Source organism: Homo sapiens, chromosome 3, assembly GCF_000001405.40.
Source record: "Homo sapiens chromosome 3, GRCh38.p14 Primary Assembly".
Classification (NCBI taxonomy): Eukaryota; Metazoa; Chordata; class Mammalia; order Primates; family Hominidae; genus Homo; species Homo sapiens.
Window position 1 is genome coordinate 149,955,407 of NC_000003.12, and position 20,882 is coordinate 149,976,288.

Below are 20,882 nucleotides of genomic sequence, written 5' to 3' on the forward strand. Positions count from 1 at the left end.
AGAAAGAGTTCTCAGGCAAATCTGGCTTTTTAAAATATTTTATCCTGTTGTATTTTGTTGAGATTTCTTGGGAACTGGTACAGGGAAAAGAAGAATAAAAAATAAGATTCATTTATTTCTTATTTGCTAGAAAAAAAGCTGCTATTCATACCAAACACACTTTTGGACTACAGGGCAATTAAAAAGAATTCAGTACTAAGAAAAAAAAGCTGCTATTGTTTTCTTCACTGGCAGAAGCAGCGAGTAAGTGGCAACTCATGACTCTAATGATGCATCATCCCTAGGCAGATTATTTATAATGCATATGTAAAGTCAGTATCACTAGTGAAATCTATATGTATTTAACCCTGAATCTTCAATCTCTTTTATCTTTTACTTTGAGGAAACCTATTCTTGGTTTACTTGATACCCGAACTAGTTTGGTATAGAACTGAACAATTAACTTCTACATCAATTTGTCTGCACTGTGACTATTTTAACTAGCTCAGTTTCAAGCCTTGTTTAAAAATGGTAATTCCTCTTTCTAAATTTAATTTTATGTCCAAATGTTTTTGTTACAGCCTGGCCAAATTCAGGTCCCCATCTAACTTACTATCATATTTATTCAAAGACTGAAAGAAGGCCACAAGGATGAAGCATGAATGAAGGGTGGATTGGTATGAGATGAGACAGGATGTGGGGGTAGAGGGATCAAATCATATATAGCTATATGAAGGCCATCATAAGGAGGTCAAATTTTATTCTCAGGGAAGCCATTTAAATTAGAATGGCATGATGTGATATTTCATTTTTAAAAGATCACTCTAGGTGCTAAAAACTACATGGGGCAGGACTAGATGGGAGACCAGAGAGGAGGCTCTTAGCATAATCTAGAAGATTAGACCAGAGTAATCAAGGTGATGGAGAGAAGGGGAAAGATTCAGGACATGTTTTGCAGATAAAAGGTTCCAGGATCTGGTGACAGATGGTATGAAGGCTCTAAGCAAAAGAAGCATCAAAGATAGGCCTAGGCCTGATATTTAGTTCATGCCACTGCCTTGGCTACCTAGGTCTTTGTGTGAGTCTTGTTATGAAGGGCCAATACTTTTCTGTATCTGATGAGCCAAAGTTTTGGGCTTGAAATGGGGAAAAATCATGGATGAACAAGTTTAAAGAGGAGACAATCTAAGTTCTGTCCAGCTACATGTTTTAACATTCCCAGATTGATGAGATTTACTTTAAAAGTACCTTCATGAAATTTTTCTGAAACTTTATTCTACAGCAGTTCCAAAAACATTCCAGACAAAAGTGTGTCTTATTGTTTCATATAACAGACATGAATCTGATTTCTTCCACAACTTCTGACATCTTATCCACTAGTGAATTAGCAAAGTTTTGTTAGCCTGCAGGGGTTTCTATGAGGGTTTCTCACCCTCAGCACTACTGACATTTAGATGGGGTACTTTGGTTTAGGGGGCTGTTCAGTACATTATGGGATGTTTAGCACCATCTCTGGTCCACAAGATGCCAGCCGCAACTCTCAGTTATGAAAACCAAAACTGTTTCCAGATATCACCAAATGTCCTTTGGGAGCAAAATCATCCCCAGTTTAGAACCCAACTCATGGTGCTAATAGTAACAAAACTAACACTTATAAAGCACTTGTTATAGCCCTTTTATAATACTACCAGAGCCAGTAGGTAATGTTTAAAATCTTATAAATCATAAAAATAGATAAATGCCTTTAATTTCTATTTTAAATGTAATTGTAAATCCACTCAACAATTGATGTTGGACCACAGCCTTTTGAGTATGAATCCACTGGCTGGATTTCCAAATTGCCATGGTACATGAAGCATTTTCTACCATTTTTAGTTTCAAGTATTTTAGTGGGGGAAAAACTGGATTCTGCTTTCATCCTTGCTTTCTACATTTGTCCAGTCTTTTAGTTTTTTTACCCATACCCAATTTAACCACTTTTTGACTGGGGATGGGTTGAGGGGAGCAACTAGCTTTTTTTTTAAAGTATTTCTAATGCATTCAACCTAGCTTTCAAATAAAACCAGAAGTCTTTTACACTCACAGTTTATGGACTGCTGAATATTTAACTAAATTACATAATTACCCTAAGTAAAACAAACAGGTTCAATGACCACTGCCACTAGCCTTTTGTAAGCATGCAGCTGATCATCTGTTGGGACAAAAGCATAAGGTTGGTTAGAGAATAGCCTCCTAGCCAGTCTTCTACCATGTGATAAGTAAGTATGCCTATCGGCTAGTTTTACTAGGTAAAAATTGGTTAAGAGGTATTGTATGTGCGAAACACCATGTAAATTACTCTACTTGCATTATCTCTTTTAATCTTCACAACAACCCTAATACATAATTATGTTAATGTTTGTGTTTTGCCTTTGAGAAAACAAACATAAAGATAAGTGTTTTACATAAAGTTACATAGCTAATAAAAGGACCAGGATGGGAACCTCAGGCATTCTAATATGTGCTTTACCATTTCATCACAAGTCCAAGGCCATAAAGGTTAATTTGCTACAGAGCACTAAGCTCCAGTTTGGTCCATGATCACAAACTGTACCTTGGAATCTTGACCTGTCATCTTCAAACTAAGTGCTACGGCAATAAAATATGGGATATTAATATAAATCTACTACTTGGAACAATTCAAAGGATTGATAAGAAAGCTCAGTGATTCCAAATCATCAAGTCTATACATTTAAAGATAACCCAAATATACCTGTATTAGTTTCCTATTTATTTGATAACAAATCAACAAAAGCTTAATGCCCTAAAACAACAAAAATATATTATCTATAGGTTAGAAGTTTGACACAGGTCTCACAGGGCCAAAACCAAGGTGTCAGCAGGACTGTGTTCCTTTCTGGAGGTTCCAGGGAAGAATCCATTTCCTTACCTTTTCTGGCTTCTGGAGGGCACTCAATTCCTTGACTTGTGACCCTTCTTCCCCCTATCTTCAAAGCCAGTAGTTGCATCTCCCTGACCATTCATCTGTAGCCACATCGCCCCGACTCTGAATTTTCCTGCTTCCTTCTTCCACTTTTCAAAACCCTTGTGATCACATTGAGCTCACATGGATAATACAGGCTGATCTCCCTACCTCAATAAAATGAGCCTTAGAGCCTTGGCACAGCTTTGAGCCACAGTCAGTTCCTGTTCAGCTACATTAACTGTTTTGTTTTTAGTAGGCGTTTTCAAAAGGTGATGTGACTCAAAGGTTGATTTGTATGAGAAATCAGTCATGATTGAATTGCATAACTATCTGTCCTCAAAGTCCATGTAAATAGATCTATGTAATTATAATTAAAAACAATAATTGCAGATATATCAGAGGTCCTTTAGTCTTCTAATAGTTGAGTCTAATAAGTCTCACCAAATTCCACACACAAGATTCTAACACATGTACATATGCATTTGTTACAGAATGTAATTTAGATACTATAGTAACCAAATTCAAGGTAATGGACAAAACTTAGTAATTTTCATTAAAGCTTTCTATTTCGGGCTTCTCCTGAATGTGTGTTTTAAATGACTAGGACATTAAAGGGATTGTTTCAGAAGAACTATCAGCACCTTTTTTATGTGTCATGTTCATCCAGACTATCCATCCAGATAATTGCTTTATTTCTGATATGTCTTCCAAGGTTGTTACCCCGTGTGGGATAGGCAATGAATTTAACTGTCTTTTGTCCCTAAAAGTTTTATAAGTTTTTATCTAACATATTCATGTAGTGGAAAAAAACTCACAAAAGTGCTTTCAAGCATTCACAGTGGTGTCTAAGCCACTATTAATTGAAAAAGCTGCTGTATTTAAAAAAACTGCTAGTTCCTGTGAACCAAGATCATGCCACTGCACTCCAGCCTGGGCCAAAAGTGCGAGACTCCGTCTCCAAAAACAAACAAACAAACAAACAAACAAAAACTGCTAGTTCCTTTAAAAACTTAAAAAACACTGGAACTCCAAAAAGAGCTATGAATTAATAAATTTCTATGATTATAAAACTGATAAATTCCACAGTAAGACAATTAAAGTGGCAATATTAATAGTATACCCTTTATTGAATACCTATGTGCCTGGCCCTTTGCTCATTTCATCCTTATAACCTGCAAGGTAAGTTAATCTTTTTACTGATAAAGAACTGGATGGCAAAGGCTAAGCAACTTGCCAAGCACCACAGAATTTGGTAAATGCTAGAGATTTGAAGTCCAGTGTGACTCATTTCAATTCTGTTTTTATTTGCTAATATAGTTAAACATTTGAGTATATTCTCATGTTTCCATTTTTATTTAAAAAATGACTCAGTTTGAACATTTTAGTAGTGAAATTTTATCTGGCATTAAATATTTCAAAACTAGCATTTGGTTAGGTAGAACACTGATGTAATTATGAGTCTTACTAAAATATTTTGCAAAGATAATCAAGGTAAACAAATTTGTCATCAATTTTTAACTAGTTTAGGTAAAATGTTAATTACTTAAATTGAAACTTCAGGTCCTAGGACTTAGATAAGCAGATCCTTGAGTCCGATGCAAAAGGCATCATTCAAAGATAAATACATCAAAAGGCAGTAACTGAGGACTAACTTGAAAAGTTTGAAAGGTGAAAAAATAGTTCTCTACATATTTTCTGTTTTCAGGAGATGAGTATGATGTATGTGCCATTTGTTTGGATGAGTATGAAGATGGAGACAAACTCAGAATCCTTCCCTGTTCCCATGGTATGAGTAATTACGTACTGCTTTGAATTTACATATAGTAATTTATATTTAGGTTCCATATTCCAGGGGAAGAGATGGAAAATAGTTATTAGCACACCAGAAGCCAGGCCCTGTACTAATTAGTGGTCTCATTCAAGGATGGAGGTGTATTTATAAAAATTTATAAACTTTCAGGCCGGGCATGGTGGCTCACGCCTGTAATCCCAGCACTTTGGGAGGCCGAGGCAGGCAGATCATGAGGTCAGGAGATCGAGACCATCCTGGCTTACACAGTGAAACCCCGTCTCTACTAAAAATACAAAAAATTAGCTGGGTGTGGTGGCGGGCGCCTGTAGTCCCCAGCTACTAGGGAGGCTGAGGCAGGACAATGGCGTGAACCCAGGAGGCAGAGGTTACAGTGAGCTGAGATTGTGCCACTGCACTCCAGCCTGGGTGACAGAGCAAGACTCCATCTCAAAAAAAAATAAAAATAAAAATAAAAAATAAACTTTCTTCCCGTCCCTACATGATACATACAGAACACTGAATAAATATGGCAAGAGATTAAATATAAAAGTATCAACCGCAGCATACTAACTAAAGATGTATATTTTGCTTCAACAGCTTATCACTGCAAGTGTGTAGACCCTTGGCTAACTAAAACCAAAAAAACCTGTCCAGTGTGCAAGCAAAAAGTTGTTCCTTCTCAAGGCGATTCAGACTCTGACACAGACAGTAGTCAAGAAGAAAATGAAGTGACAGAACATACCCCTTTACTGAGACCTTTAGCTTCTGTCAGTGCCCAGTCATTTGGGGCTTTATCGGAATCCCGCTCACATCAGAACATGACAGAATCTTCAGACTATGAGGAAGACGACAATGAAGATACTGACAGTAGTGATGCAGAAAATGAAATTAATGAACATGATGTCGTGGTCCAGTTGCAGCCTAATGGTGAACGGGATTACAACATAGCAAATACTGTTTGACTTTCAGAAGATGATTGGTTTATTTCCCTTTAAAATGATTAGGTATATACTGTAATTTGATTTTTTGCTCCCTTCAAAGATTTCTGTAGAAATAACTTATTTTTTAGTATTCTACAGTTTAATCAAATTACTGAAACAGGACTTTTGATCTGGTATTTATCTGCCAAGAATATACTTCATTCACTAATAATAGACTGGTGCTGTAACTCAAGCATCAATTCAGCTCTTCTTTTGGAATGAAAGTATAGCCAAAACATAAAAAAAAAAAAATCCTCAGTATAGCTTGCAATTAAGACCTAGATCACAGTATTTAAGTGTTTTGCGTTTTATACATGAGGTCAGTGCTACAGCCACCTAGCATGAACTAACCCAGCTTCCACCTCCATAAAGTTACCTAGAGTTGTTGAGTTGGAATATGTTCTGGCATTTACCTGACCTGCCAATCATTAGGGAGAGGCAACAAGGTAATTCAGCCTTTCCTCCTATCAGCACAAAGAAACTCAAAGCTGTTTTTTCCCTTTCTGTTCCAAAGCAGTCTTATCCTGACAGGAGCGGTCTATACTAGTGCAGATTTCAACACTTTTTTTTAACGTTTTAATTACTATAGTGTTATGTAGAGATTTGATTGAGCAGCTAATGTTTCTGAACTTTACTTACTAATTTTCAGTGTCCTTAAGGGTTCTGTAGTGTTATCAAAGCAAAAAGAAAATGCTGCATAAAAATACCAAACTTCAGCAACTGTTAATACTCAGATCATATACCTCTTAATAAATAGCATCTTATGCTAATTAGCCCTGCTAAACTATGTACAGAGGAAACTGTTCAAGTATTGGATTTGAAAGTAAGTGACTTATGTTTAACAGAACTAATGATGTATTGAAACACTGTATTATGAAAAGCTAAATTATACATCATTGTAACTATGTAGAAAGTGTAGACTAATGTATAATCAAAATGCTAAGGATTTTTATATGGCCTTGTATGAGGGGAGTTTGAATGTTAATAAACATGTTTTCCACTTTAAGATCCAGTAAATGTCTGTTCTACTGTAGTATTACTTACCATATTAGCCTTATTTATATATATCCTATAAAGTGATAATGATTGAGGTCAGAGAAATCACATCACCTTAGGACTTTATACAAGGTAACTGACCATTCACATGCAGTTAGGTAATATCCCAAAAAGTTTAGACTGCTGCCAAAATTATTCCAAAAATAAACAGTGTACATTTTGGTACCCTGTTGTAAATTATGGTATATCGAGGGAAAATTTCACTTTCCAAATTGCCTTTTAAAAAATAATGTTCATAATCAGGAAAAAAATAAATAGGTATTTCTACTTTGGAAAATAAACGGTTGAATTCAACATCAGCTATCTGATACCTCATCCCTCTTCCCCTTTTTTATAAAAAATTAAAGAACCACAGGCCTGAGAAACAGGACATCAAAGGTTACCACGGTAGTTAAGCAGAGTTTGGAATTTGACATAATTGTATGGCCCTAACCTTTTTAAACCTGCTTGGTCATTTGCATAATTTTCATTTAACCTAAGAGGGTGTGAGGAGAAAACATTGAGCTCAGTATCTGGCACATCAATGCGCAATAAGTAATAGCCTTCAAAATAATTATTATTAAATAAAAACAAACCTAAAACAATATTTTAAAATAGGAAAAGGGAAAAAAGTAAAAAGTCACGGTAATGGTTAAGTATGTATTAGATGTTATATTCCCTCAGTCTTTAATCCAAAGTTTAGAATAAGGACCTGGTCCCTTTATGTTAGGAGTTTTATGGAAAAAAAAATTTTTTTTTGAAATTCCAAATAATTACTAACTAACTGTAAAAAAAAATCTACGAAGTGTCTTATTTAGCAGCACTGGCTAGGGCTGTTACTAGGTTCTGTGAATGTTCACTTGAAATGTTCTATAATTTCATGGTATAGCTTTTCAAACAGGACAGTAGGTGCAATTAAAATCCAATTTCTATTTAAAAAACATTTAAAACTTTCTTGATTACAAAAGTAATATTAACACTAGAAATCAAAATATAGTCACCTGGAAACTTTCACTCCAGAGATAAATTTATCTTAATATATTGCCTTCAGAAATACATATGTAAAATACATGTATATTAATACTGTATGTATGTGCACTGTCATGTGACATGTTTATATCCTTATATTATTAACATTCATTGGTAAACATTCTTATGTCATTCTTCAATGACTATTTTGTCCTATGGACTTAAAATCATTTATTCAAACCATACCCCTTAAAAAGCTGAACTTTGTAGATATTTTCCAAGTTTGGATGTCATAAGTAATGCAGCATGATGGACATTCTGGTATACAAATTTGTATAGCTTCATTTCCATATGCTAAATTCCTAGAACTAAGTACAAAGCAAAGTACGCATGTATGTATTTCCCTAAGTATTTTTCTAATGAAATTGTGGGTAGAAAGCCAATGAATAGTTTCATTATATACTATTTTAGTGATACACTCACCCTTTACCACCTTCTCTACCCACAACCTCCTCTCTGAACACACACATACACACTGCCCCTTCACCTACTTACAGATTAATTAAGAGTTTCAGAATTTTGGTCACTGCCTTCTATAATTGGTTACCCTAATAGTTCTTTACATGTAAAGTGTGAATGTGTATTATTGTAAAATCTCAAATCATCACAACTCAACCACCAAATTTTCATTTGCCCCGTCTTTTGGCCTTAACAGGTCAAGAAACTGATACCAGGTTTTTATTATAGTTTTACAATTTCTAGGTTATGTCCAACTACCAAAATAGCCCCAAATCCTTTATCTCCCATATTTGTACATCCCTGTGTATGTACAACCATATTCACAACCAGTGCCTGACAACTAGTCAAAGAAAAAAAAACTTTCATTATGCATAGTATATTTTAAGACAGGTTAATTCCTATTCCCTAACCCATTTTTTCTCAAAAGGTAGCATATACACCACTTAAAATGAATCAGACTGACTCAGTGATTGTTTCTGAAAAGGGATTCCTGGGCTTATGGACTCTCCATCTCCAGAGTGGAACCCCAGAGTCCATAGTCTGCCTTATAACCAGCTCCCCAGTTTTACTGAGACCTACTAACTTTTGAGCACCCCTGGCTCTAAGCGTCCGCTTGACAGTTGTTGGTAATAATGATTTATGTAAATAGCCCTAAATTTACATATTTATCAAACTTCAATATATATCAGGGATTTTATGGCCTCTGGATTTAAACCTATTACACAGCCATGGTCAACATGTCACTACAAAGCCAAAAAATGCAAAAGCATCCCAATTATCTTATATGCTGCCTAAGGAATGTCTTCTGCTCTTATGTGGGAGGGCCCCAGCTGGCTGACTTCAGCCTGCCAACACAGCTTCCAAATCTAAAGTCATATGACATTTCAATACAGAAAAATCCACAATAGTGCAGAAACCCTTCTTGGTACTCCCTTTACTATTAGATTTCACATCTAGAAACCAGCAAGAAGAGGAAAATACTTATTTTCTAGCAGATAAGTCAGTTGCTTCTCACATACTCCTGAAGATGAGCCTGAAATGACTAAAAGCTATGTGTAACAGATCAGAGTCCATTAAAAAGAAATTCCCAGGCACTAATTTTATCTGTAATATTACTTGAAGTAGGCCATCACCTAATATTGCTGAAGTTTTATGCTTGCAGCAGACTTTGGCCTATTCTGTGTATTCCCACTTTGTCAAAAATCAACTTTTAACAGTTTATATAAACAATGTATATAAACAACAGGAGCCTAGAGTATTTGGTTGGAATAAATTTATTTCATCTGTCTGTAAACAAGGTGTTTAATAGTTATGGCATTTTTTTAAATGCATATTAAATCAGATGAGTTAGACTGTATCCCAGATGTAACAAAGTGCAGGGAAAGAAATGGACAAATCAGCAACAAGATTTGTTTTTAAATCTGTACATTATCCACAAGGCCCAAACAATAGAAGCAAATACTAGAATGTCCCTAAAGTAGTGCCATTCGAAAGAAACCCTTAATAGGTCAGTTAAAATCCATCTCACAATAGCAACAGTTCATTTTAACAATAGTATGGCACAGAATACATATGAAAAAAATTCATCACAAGACAGCCAAGTCCACAATAATGCAACTTCATATAAAAACTCAAGCTGCAAATAAAAATTGGTCCTATGAAGAACAAACTGGACACACTCCAGATGGTTATGTTGGGATACCTAATGTCCATAATGGCAGCCTTTTACAATTTTACTAAAGAGTAGAGCTGGTGTGCAAAGAAAAAGGAAGAAAAATCTGAGCTATTGCAATGATGGAATGTCCCTGGGGATTCAATCAGTATGGTTACTGTAAGGTCATGGGAGGAAGTGCTTTTTGCTCTTGTTTTGCCATTGCACTCTTCATATGTCCTGTAGACACTATGAATAAAGGTTTGTCTCTGCTCAAGTGCAACAACAATACTAAAAGCAAACTACTGCAGCTCTCAATAGCTCATCAACAAAAGGGATTTTAATTGGTTAAAAAAAAACAGGCACTGCATAAAAAAAGATGGAAGCAAACCAAATGCCTATGTGCGAAGGGAGGGGGGGCGGGAAAAAGAGAAGAGTGAAGGAATGATGCATGCACTTTTTCCTCCCAACCATGCGCTACAAAAGGAAGACTAAATGAGCCAAGTAAATGCTCAAAGTGCTGAAAAGACACTGATCAGAGATTGTACAACCGGCACCTTGCTTAATATTAACTTATTTTAGTAATCAATATCCCATTAATTGCTAAGACAAAGTGATGCCCAACTTGGCATGCCCCCTCCCCCCAATTTCAAGGTATCATGCAAATCATTATTGTGCTGCAATTATGTTGCCAGATAAGGGTTGGTTACATACAGTGGTTAACATACAAATGATCCATTGGGCAAACAGGAATCATGACATTAGAAAATAGGTAAAGAAAAATTAGCTACCATCTACAGTTTGGTAGCATTGTGACCATAATTAGGGTTGTTGATGAAGACAGTTGCTAGGTAGATGGGGAGAGGCTGCTTACACATCAGACCTCCTCAGGTATAAAGCGAGTTCATATGCTTTCTTGTTAAGTGTGCCTCCGTGGACACCTTCCTTTCCCATGACTATAACCAATGCTGGAGTACACAAGGAAACAAAACAAAAGTGAACAGAATTATTTTGGGGGGGGAGGGCAGAAAGAAAGACACCTTTCCCCACCAACAGAGGGATACAAAGGAGACACAGGTTCATACCCCATCACCCTGCATTGCTAATAAAATTTCCAGAATTAAGACTTAAGCTTATAGCTAGGAAAGTTTAAGAGCAATTTTCCCCTAATACTTAACAGTCTGCCTAGCAGCTAGAACCCAGAGTCTCTCAAGTATTTTGCCATTGAGTATGCCTTCTTATTCAATCCGCCTCCATGGACCCCTTCTTTTCCCATTACAAAGACCAAGACTGAAAGAGAAAGAAGAAAAGTGTTTCAAAAGAAGTGTTAATCAAGAAAGTCACATAAGTTTTAGCAGACAGAACCCGGATTAATAAGTTAACATTAAGTTAGTTTTCCATGAACTGCCAAGCACTGAAGTCAAGTAGGTTTCCAAAAAGAACTTTCAAACTAGTAATATACTAAACAGAAAATAGTAAACTTGACTGCATCTTGGAAGCCAATCAATGCAAGCAAAAGTTCTATACAACTATCTTTACACTAGCTACAGAAAAAAAAAAAAGTGACCATTTGTCTTCTATTTTAGGGCAAAAAAATTCTGGCTGATGTCAAGTACATGTTATTACTTGCCCCCAAAATATAAACTTAATAAACCTGGGGAGTTACTTACTTACAAACTCTCCCCAAATTTTAACATGCTTGATAAGTTTAAACTATTAAGTTTTACCAGTGAGGCTAAATGTATCTATTATTTCCAGAGGAAAATGAAGATCAAATTTTAAGTAGCATACTCAGTATCATTCAGAAAAGGCCAAATTAAATTATTTAAGGTGTTTGCTTACTGATAACTTCACCGTAGTAGCCTTGTTTTTAATTGCGTCTAAAAAAATAGGTTTACGATTTCTAATTGCTCTTCTATGATGCAATTCAAAGGTGTATAACCCAAAATATATGTATATGTCAAATTTTATATTCACTACCACTAGATGTCAGTAGTGCTGTATCGTATAAAATATTCTGGTTTTTTGTCTTGTGTTTGACGCTTCTTTTCAGCGTATAGTGCAGCTAAGGTTTAAAGAGATTTGTCACTATTTCAAAGTCATCTAATTTTCTTATAAATCCTTATAAACATCAACTCACACCAGAATACGAGTAACTTTTAGGATAATCACAGGGAGCTGGTAGAGCCATAGCATTAATTATAACTCACAGCAGCTTCAACTCCCCTCACATGGTAGAGCTGTTATTAAAATTAGATGTGCCAAGTCAGCTATGTGAGGCTACAGAAGCACTCTCTATTTACAAAATATTCGTATGCGTTAACACATTAAAATGTATTTGTAAATCAATTAGATGTCATAATAAAACTCAATTTCAAAAGTTTATTTTGAAAAAGTAGGGAGACTTCTTTAGTGCAATTAAGAGTTTCTATAATGCTGACAACAGTCTGGAGACACCTGAATTTCTGGACCAAGTATACAAACTAAATGTAATTTCCTACTTTTCAAATCTAAGTCTCAGACACAATCTTTGAAAATATTTCAGTGAATGGACAACTTACTCCAAAATCCTCATCTAATTATCTTTTCCCCAGCAAAGTTCCTAACTGAAAAATGAACGGATGTTAATTTTTCCTTCTTTATGCTGAGTAGTGAAATGGTTAGAATACAAGCAAGAAAAAAAAGAAAAGAGATCCAAAGGTCAAACACACACCAAAAGGGACTAAAATAACCAAGTGATTCGAACAATTTAACAATCTGAAACACCACAGGATTATGATTTGACATGTCAAGCAGTTTAAGAGACTTTTAAGTTTAATAAAGCTGAAAGTGAGTTCATACGAATATTCTATCGTAGAAACAAAATCAGGATCTAAGAGGCCAGGTCATAGATGCTGTAGAGTAGGTAAAACTAAAGCAGTGCTTCTCCATAGTGCTGGGCAGTTCACAAAAACCACCTTAATAGCCATTATGGACTAACTTTTATTCAAAATGTTAAAAGAAACTGCTTAATAAGTTGTAATGTGGCATGCAACTTTAACCAAAAGAATGCCTTACTCACCTCTACCAGCTCTGCCGACAGCCACATTGTATGTTGGCTCCCCACCTTGACTCTTTGTCCGGATGTCCATTGTGCAGTCACCATCGACGTATAGACTATCTCTGATCACTGAGCATTTCTTCGCGCCAAGAGTCAAACCGTTGGTAAAGAAACCTTCCCGGTCTTTTCCTACAATCATATCTATTTCTATTGGCTGCCCCCCACCAAAAAGAAAAAAAAAAAACACACACACATTAAGTTGTAGTTAACTCCTTTTAGGGCTTGATGTAACAGGAAGGGCTGTAGCTAGGCTTATGCTACCACTGCCAGATAGCCACATTTCACTAATGTAAAACCAAGATTCAGTCTTTTCTAAATAATTATTTAATCCTATATAATCACATATTTTACATGAGTTGATTTGACTTCAGTTAATGATGTCGTCTCTTAACCAAGACCAGTCTATACAAAGAAACTGTAAAGAGTTGACAGTTGACACTAGACAAAGTGCAAACTTAAAGAGTTATTTATAAACTGTATTAAGTCAGCTGGTGCCTGAAAGTGTTCACGTAATGGTAAAAATTCAGCTATCAACTCTGAACAAAGCTGGTCTATCATATTCAGTCCCATTACAGTAAATCATGTTTCATCAAATTTAAAGTTGCTTCAAAGTCTCCCAAAATAAAGCCTGTTCTTTGATGTGTTCACTTCTCTGCTTAGAGTAACTAGAAATATACGTGATGAGATGGACTTCAACCCCTGGACATCAGTGCTTTTCCAAATTCATATTTCCCTCCTATTTTTCTAGCCACGACTCCCGTTTCTTTCCAACTTCCCTTCCCCTCCCATCTCAGTAATCAGTTTTCTTTCTGGGCAAACGCAAAGTGGATTCTGTCTACAGCACTGCGGTAGGCAATAGTAAAACAGAAAAAATGGAGGGAGATTGGGAAAGAAACTGAGGTAGCCACCAGAACCGGAAAGGAGAAAACGTGCATTCTAACATTCCATGAATAAGAAGGAAGGCGTCGCCCCCATCAGAACTGCAGAGTCATAGCAGGCCCCAGCCATTTCCAAGCACACTCCCGCAATCTTCCTAGTCAGACAGCGGGAACTCACACACAAAGACAAGAGGACTGCAGGAAAAAAGTTGATGACCAGATGCCAATTCCCTACAAGAATTGTAGTCCACTGCGGGTATACGAGACCTTAAAGTACTACTATCAAGGACTGAGTTCTAAAGTTAGACTTTAAACCATGTTAAGTGGTAAAAGAATAATTAGCACCCTTAATAGGGGACCTGAATTTTGGTGCTTAATGGAAAGGGAGCGTGGTGCTAAGAAATAAAGAGAATGGTCTCGTATTTAGTACAATTATCATAATTTTAGAAACAGCCTTGGGCAGAAACAGGCAAAACAATAAGCTGGAGGTTTTGTGGCAAATATTCTCCAAACATATTGCAACCAACTCAAAACCATCAAGTCTCAAGAAAATCAGGCAATGTGAAGCATAAAACTGCATTAGTTCCTTTACTGCCACCACTAAAGAGGGAGGGACTTAGAGAAGTGAAGTGTGCTCCTGGTCTTCGCAGATAATTGAAAGCCCCCGAAAAGCACCCCTTTTTTGAGCTATGTTGCATAACTGGGGATAACCGTATATCGATGAATCTCCATATGAGAAGAGAAATCAATGGCAGTTCGCCATCTTGGAGAATTTAAAAAAAAAAAAAAAACAACCTATAGAGCTAGAGCTGAAGTCGAGATTCACGAATCCACCTACGCGGTCGGCGTACATCTCTCGCAAGCCCCAGAGGCCTGGACATCGGTAAACCTACGCAAAGTCGCTTCGAGAATCCCGGGGGCCGGGCCGGGGCCGCCGCCTCCCACAGCCGGAGGCGCGGGAGGCGCGCTGTCCGCGGAGCAAGAGCCGGCCAGAGAGCCTAGGGACCTCCACCCGGGGCCCGCGCGCCCCAGCCCGGATCCCCGACCCCCGCTTCCACCCCAGAACGTGCATAGCAAACCTCAGGGCTTCAAGAGAACCTAGGGGAACCGCACTAGGAGGAAAAAAGGAACCCCTCCCCTTGCCCTGGCCGGTGCGTGCCCCCTCCCCCAACCCGGGCACCTGGACCGACGCTGGGAACGCCGGGGGCGCCCGGCCAGGGCCAGCAAGGAGTCCGGCCGCCGCCCCCAGCCTGTCAGCGCAGCCCCGGGTGAGGGGGCGTCCCCGGGCCTCGGCCTCCCCGCCCGCCCGGCAGCCGCATCCTCGGCGCCCGCTGCCTAGCACACCTGCGGGCTCGGCCCTCAGTGTTCCAGCCCCGCGCTGCGGTGCCCCCGCGGCCGGCCACCCCGCTCCGGTGCAGGGACCAGGGTACCGGCCGCCACTGGTCCTCACCGTAATGCTCTGAAAGACGCCCCCGGCCGTGGCTGCCCAGACGTATTTGGCGTCGCAGTAGCCGACAATGGCGGCCTCCTGGCAGCAGCCATCGCACATCAGGTTATCCACGTAGCTCTGCCAACCGGCCATCTTCGAGCCCTTCGCACTGCAGCGCGGACGGCGAGGAGCAGCAGGCGCAGCGGCGGCGGCGGCGGTAGCGGGCGGCGGCGGCGCGGGGGGAGGCGGGGCGGGGGCGGGGAGGAGGCGGCTCTGCGCAGGCACCGACCGCCCCCCTCCCCGAGGAGCTGCGGCGGGAGGACGCGGGTTCAGCGATGAGGGACGAACCTCAGAGCGCGCTCGGCCGCCCGGCCGCCCGCAGCCGCGGGGCTGACAAACCAGCGGCGGGAGGCTGCGAAGCGGCTGTGCCTGTGGCGGCTGCTCCTTACCGCAGCGCCCTCCGTTTTCCGCGGACACGGCTGGGCGTGCGCGCGCGCGTGCGTGCGATCCTTCCGCGGCGCCCGGGCACGGAGGGTCCCGGGAAGGGCGGGGGGAGACTGAGGCGGGGGCGCGGAGGGATACCGCCCCGGGACAATCACGGCCGCCACGTGCGGGAGGCGCCGGCCGGGAGCGGTGGCGGGCCGAGCTTCGGACCTCGGGCCGGCGGAGAGGGTGGACCCCGCGTCGCTCTCGGCACCCCAGGAACAGCGGCGGCACGGACGCCTTGGAGCCCCGCGGCCGGGCCGCGATGTGCTTTTCTCCTGTGTTCGCTGCCCGGGATGCGGAATCTTGAGCCTCGGTGTCGGGTTACAGAGTTGTCCTGGTGACGGGATGCGGAGCGTTTCCTCCTTTTTGTTGTGGGGGCGGCTGGTGGCAGGGGCAGCTGGTGGCAGGGTTGCCCACGCTAATCTCCGAGTCTCTAAGGGCACCGTCTTTCCTGGATCCCTCTTGCGCCTCGTCCATAAAGGCAGACCCGCGGGCGCGCGCCGGCAACCTGAAATCAGAGCAGGCGTCCGTGGCGCTCAGGAACCTTGCTGAGCTTCGCCGATCTTTCATTGTTGCTTCATTTGGGTACCAAGGGCCTCTCATTCTGTGGATTCTTTGCCTGGAGGAGCCCCCTTAATGTTGCTAATCACGTGTGGTTAAATTGCTCGTAAATTCCGAACAAAACAAATAGCGACCTGTGTTACACTGTTTCTTGGTAACTGGGAAAGTTACTGGTGGCTTGAAGTATACGCAGAAAATACAAAGATTAAAAACTAGGGAAGAGTTCACTGAATGAACACCGTAACATTTCTGCTCTGCAGGGTAAAATAATTTCGGGACCCAGGTCTGGGAAAGATTTGTATTAACAAGGTAAACGGTGGGTAGAGTGCCTGAGAAGCTATTCGTATCGTCTTTGGTAGCCTCTGGGCACTAGGACTAGACATGGAATTAGGGGTCCCCCAACAATGACTTCAATTTTAGGTTAATAGAAACCATCTGCCACTTAAGGGAAAGAAAGCACCAAAATGTAGATAAGTTGATGTTCACCCTTAAAGTTATCGTGTGAGGTCATGATTTGTAGGAGGATTAAGGAATGTATCTCTGGAAAGGGCAAGAACGTTGCTTTTAAAAGTCTAATTGGTTCTGAAGTTTTATATTTTTTCTGCTGATTGCTTTAAAATGTTCAGCTACTAGAGAGAAAAAAAGTACAGTAAAAGAAACCCCCAAGTCAGAGACCTATCAGACTGAGAATATGTATTTTCTCATGTTCTAAAGATACAGAATACCTGTGTGGTGTAAAATGTGAACCAAAAATTGTTTCATTTTTGTAAGTGTGCCTCCCACCTGATTTAATTACACTTAATTGTTCTTGTTTATGACTCTGCCTTTTATGGTGATGTTGATCATTTTAGTCCTTCGATCATAGCACTGTATCATCTTAAAAGTTAATAATAGATTACTTGTAACACAGGCTCACTATGTGAGAATTCATCAAGCTGTATGTACATTTATTGTGCTCTTCATTGTATGTATAATTCAATAAATTGAAACAGTAAACGAAAAGGTAATTATAGAAAAAATACAGTGATAACTTGAAGTATGTTGAATTTTTATTAATTTACTCTGAAGGTTTTAAGATATAATTTCTAGACGTTACTATCTTATTGTTATAGCACAGAGTTGGAAATAACTACATTCTTTTCCTATTCTTTTATTGTTGGCTTTAAACAGTGAAAGAATTTGACCAACAATATTTTCTAATTCAAATCTCAAAAGATTCTAAAACACATTTCTTGGGTAAAATATTCACAAAAATTTAGAATTCTTGTCATTCTTCTATATTTTTCAAAATATAATTCATTTTAAATTACTGCTTACTTTTCCAACATGATGTTATTTTTCTAGAATTGCAAACAGTAAAATTTAAACAACTATGAAAAAAATTCTGTATAATAGATTAAATTTTACAGTTTCAATTTTTAGGTTATATATTCAAAGAGAGTCCATGTGCTGTCTTGGTTTTCAGTACTGTAATAAAGTAACCTGTGCTTTTTTGTTTGTTTGTTTATTGAGATGAGACTCCGTCACCAGGGCTGGAGTGCAGTGGCATGATCTCGGCTCACTGCAACCTCCGCTTCCTGGGTTCAAGCGATTCTCCTGCCTCAGCCTCCCAAAAGTAGCTGGGATTACAGACACCCGCCACTACGCCCAGCTAATTTTTTGTATTTTTTGTAGAGACGGGGTTTCACCATGTTGGCCAGGCTGGTCTCAAACTCCTGACCTCGTTATTCGCCTGCCTCGGCCTCCCAAAGTGCTGGGATTACAGGCATGAGCCACCATGCCCGGCCACCTGTGCTTGTTTTCTTTAGAACCAGCTTCCTTGCATGCTGCTTTATTTTCCATTTGTGTACAGTGATCCCTTCCTATTTCATCTAAGTGTTGCTTATACGTTTCAGAAAGTATAAATAGAGGTGGAATACTGAGCTTTAGTAATAACAATATTGGTTCACTTAAGTCCAAAGGAGTATCAGTGTGAGAAAAAGAATTGCCAATTTGTATCTTCCTCTACTTTTCTGAGAGTAAGTAATCCCTAGGATAATTGTAATATCTGGGCAGAAGTTTAGAAAAGTTGTGGCTGTGTTGTTGATACAAATAGCCAGAATAATGTAGCCATTAACAATCAGTAGCATATTTAAGTTTGGAGTGCATTATTATGCATTCTTTCCAGAATTATTTTATTCTTATTGAGTAAAGCAGAAACTGTGTAGTAAGCCACGTTCTTTAATGTGTAAGTCAAGTGGTGTCTGAACCACTTGAGTCCATGTAAAAATCATTTGAAATTTTAGCAAAACACAAACAAGAAATTATCTTTAAAATGTACACAACCTGATAATCATTGGGAGCAGGATCTAAAACTATACACAGTAATTACCCCCAAATTTAGTAAAACCATAATTAACCATCAGTTATTTAAAAATTTCACCGCATAGTTCATTTCTGAAAAAAGTATATGAATTATAAAATCAATATCACAGCAATAAAGTTTAGAAAATGGAGAAAAATCCTTAATCCCACAAGCTAATACAAATATCTTTTGAATGTATTCACTATGTATGATTTTTACAGTAAAGAACAAGGAGAACTTATAATTCTGCATTTGGCCATTTTACCCTGAAATTCTATGAATTTTTGCTTTTTATATTTTGAGGCTATTAGGAAAATGGAAATTTAAATTGTTATATTTTTCCTTTCTGATGAATTTATTCTTTATTATTTAGTAGTTGCCCTCTTGATCACCAATACTGCTTTTTGTCTTAAAATTTTTGTCAAATATTAAGGTAACATCCCAGCTCTCTTTTTATTGGTGTTTACCTTATATATCTTTTCGCTCCCCACCTCTCTTTCAACCTTTCTCTGTCCTTTTTATTTTGTGTCTCATAAACTTCACGCAGCTGGATTTTGTTTTTTTATCCAATATGGCAGTATAACCTTTAATTGGCAAGTTTATTCCATTTACATTCATTGTAATTATTGACATACATTTGGACTTGTTTGAACTAATTTTATTAGTCTCTTTTTTTTTCTATGCTTTTTTCTTCCTTGCCTTTAAAAAAAATGTCGGGCATGTGTGTTTTATTCTTTTTTTTTTTTCAAATTTATGCTACCAATTTTTCTTAGTGTTACCCTTAAATTTTTGCCTTGCATATTTAATACAATAAAGTTTTAAGTTAAATATCTTAAACACTACCCCTAGACAATCCAAAAACCTTAGAATGTTTTAAGTCTGGACACCTCTCTCCAGACTCTTACACAGATGTTTATGTATGTGTGTATATATATGTACTTACATGTTTGTATTTTATTTACTTACTATTCCTTTTCATATCTCAGATCATTCTATGATCATTTTTCTTTCTAAAGTACATCTTTTAGAAGTTCCTTTAATAGCAGTCTGTTGGTGAGAAACTATGTTTATCTGAAAATGTATTTATATCACTTTCATCCTCTGACAATGGGTTGGATCTACAATGCAAAATGGACACTTTGAAGATGTTATTCCATTTCATTTTGGTTTTTGTCACTGCTGTTGTATCATATGGATGATTTGTCTCTTTTCCTCTGGCTACTTTGGAACCTTTTTGTGTTTGCTCTTCTACAGTTTCACTATGATGTGTCTACATTTGGGTTTCTTTTATTCTACTTAGGAAAATAGATTTATATTTATCATCACTTCTGTAAAATTCTCAATTACTATCTCTTCAATTAATTCCTTTTTCTCAGTTCTCTTTACTGTCTTAGAGTTCAGAATACATATGTTTCTGTTTCCTCTTCTGTTCTCCGTATCTCTTAACTTCTTTCATCTTTTTCATCTTACTACTCTCTGTGCTCTATTCTGGGTAATTTCCTCAGATGTGTATTCCATATCACTGTTCAACTATGTTTCATCTGTTGATAAACCCATACATTGAGACTTTTTTAATTTCTAAAAGTCTATTTTTCATTTTAGAAGTTCCATTTTATTGTTATGCGTATCTTCCCAGTTATTCCTGATACTCTTGTATTCCTTCCCGATCTTTGTGGTTCCATACTTCATTTCTTTAAATGTTTCTTACCTACTTATTTTGTACTCTGTATCTGTATCTCAGTAGTCAGTATTAAACGAGGCTTTTAAAATCTTTTGTTTTTGCCCAATGAAACCATTCCAATATATAAACAAGTTGTATGTTGTTTTTCATCTACCTCACCCATAGTGGCTTGCCTCCTTGTATGCTTGGTGATCTTAAAGATTGTGAATGATATTTCATTGATCTTAATATGTAGGAAATTTAATGGCCTAAAGTGTGGAGACTTTTCTTCAAAAACAGTTTGTATCTGCTTCTACTATATGTCCAGGGTGCTAAGCAACCTGGGGGCACTTTAACCCTTTCTCTGGTGCCCCCTAAAGGCAGGAGTATCTGATTCAGCTCCTCACATAGTTGCCATTTGCATCTGCACTCAGACTAGCCCCATTTTTCCTGGTTACATACAGACTTCAGCTCTGCTTTCTGCTCAAGATTTGTTTCCCTTTATTTGGCAGGAAAAGGGTATTTTGAAGATTT

At 38.5% G+C, this 20,882-nt stretch overlaps 2 protein-coding genes and 1 long non-coding RNA gene across 20 annotated transcripts in view, besides 7 other annotated features; 2 read left to right on the plus strand and 1 right to left on the minus strand.

The window, feature by feature from the left end:
* RNF13 (ring finger protein 13) overlaps positions 1 to 6,733 on the plus strand; it is a 149,452-nt gene extending 142,719 nt beyond the window's left edge. For all 17 annotated transcript variants that reach the window (NR_165474.1, XM_047447380.1, XM_011512373.3 and 14 more), the window contains 2 exons: positions 4,650 to 4,730; positions 5,334 to 6,733. Coding sequence is in view for 16 of the 17 variants with exons in the window: in XM_047447380.1 (XP_047303336.1) it covers positions 4,650 to 4,730; positions 5,334 to 5,698 (446 nt within the window). In the remaining variant the exon portion in view is untranslated. The remainder of the gene's footprint in view (positions 1 to 4,649; positions 4,731 to 5,333) is intronic.
* On the minus strand, positions 9,498 to 15,489 carry PFN2 (profilin 2). Of its 2 annotated transcripts, none has more exons than NM_002628.5 (3): positions 15,319 to 15,489; positions 12,952 to 13,144; positions 9,498 to 10,858 (listed from the first exon to the last, which is right to left on the minus strand). In NM_002628.5, the coding sequence occupies exons 1-3, from the start codon at positions 15,448 to 15,450 to the stop codon at positions 10,761 to 10,763; spliced, it is 423 nt and encodes a 140-aa protein (NP_002619.1). In that variant the 5' UTR covers positions 15,451 to 15,489; the 3' UTR covers positions 9,498 to 10,760. The 2 variants fall into 2 exon arrangements, with proteins under 2 accessions (NP_002619.1, NP_444252.1); NM_053024.4 differs by having other exon boundaries at positions 9,498 to 11,180.
* Positions 14,685 to 14,944: a silencer, noted in NCBI's record as "silent region_14809". NCBI's record gives its function as "represses an Ori minimal core promoter by ATAC-STARR-seq in GM12878 lymphoblastoid cells {active_cell/tissue: GM12878}" and the evidence as "EXISTENCE:reporter gene assay evidence [ECO:0000049][PMID:35858748]".
* Positions 14,965 to 15,014: a silencer, noted in NCBI's record as "silent region_14810". NCBI's record gives its function as "represses an Ori minimal core promoter by ATAC-STARR-seq in GM12878 lymphoblastoid cells {active_cell/tissue: GM12878}" and the evidence as "EXISTENCE:reporter gene assay evidence [ECO:0000049][PMID:35858748]".
* Positions 15,025 to 15,264: a silencer, noted in NCBI's record as "silent region_14811". NCBI's record gives its function as "represses an Ori minimal core promoter by ATAC-STARR-seq in GM12878 lymphoblastoid cells {active_cell/tissue: GM12878}" and the evidence as "EXISTENCE:reporter gene assay evidence [ECO:0000049][PMID:35858748]".
* Positions 15,475 to 15,554: a silencer, noted in NCBI's record as "silent region_14812". NCBI's record gives its function as "represses an Ori minimal core promoter by ATAC-STARR-seq in GM12878 lymphoblastoid cells {active_cell/tissue: GM12878}" and the evidence as "EXISTENCE:reporter gene assay evidence [ECO:0000049][PMID:35858748]".
* Positions 15,690 to 16,221: an enhancer, noted in NCBI's record as "NANOG-H3K27ac-H3K4me1 hESC enhancer chr3:149688883-149689414 (GRCh37/hg19 assembly coordinates)". NCBI's record gives its function as "activates a minimal SCP1, AML or CMV promoter by ChIP-STARR-seq in naive H9 embryonic stem cells {active_cell/tissue: H9 hESC(naive)}" and the evidence as "EXISTENCE:reporter gene assay evidence [ECO:0000049][PMID:30033119]".
* Positions 15,785 to 15,844: a silencer, noted in NCBI's record as "silent region_14813". NCBI's record gives its function as "represses an Ori minimal core promoter by ATAC-STARR-seq in GM12878 lymphoblastoid cells {active_cell/tissue: GM12878}" and the evidence as "EXISTENCE:reporter gene assay evidence [ECO:0000049][PMID:35858748]".
* LOC646903 (uncharacterized) lies at positions 15,873 to 17,836 on the plus strand. Its single transcript, NR_036538.1, has one exon. It is a non-coding gene; the product is annotated as an uncharacterized LOC646903 (long non-coding RNA).
* Positions 16,222 to 16,752: an enhancer, noted in NCBI's record as "H3K27ac hESC enhancer chr3:149689415-149689945 (GRCh37/hg19 assembly coordinates)". NCBI's record gives its function as "activates a minimal SCP1, AML or CMV promoter by ChIP-STARR-seq in naive H9 embryonic stem cells {active_cell/tissue: H9 hESC(naive)}" and the evidence as "EXISTENCE:reporter gene assay evidence [ECO:0000049][PMID:30033119]".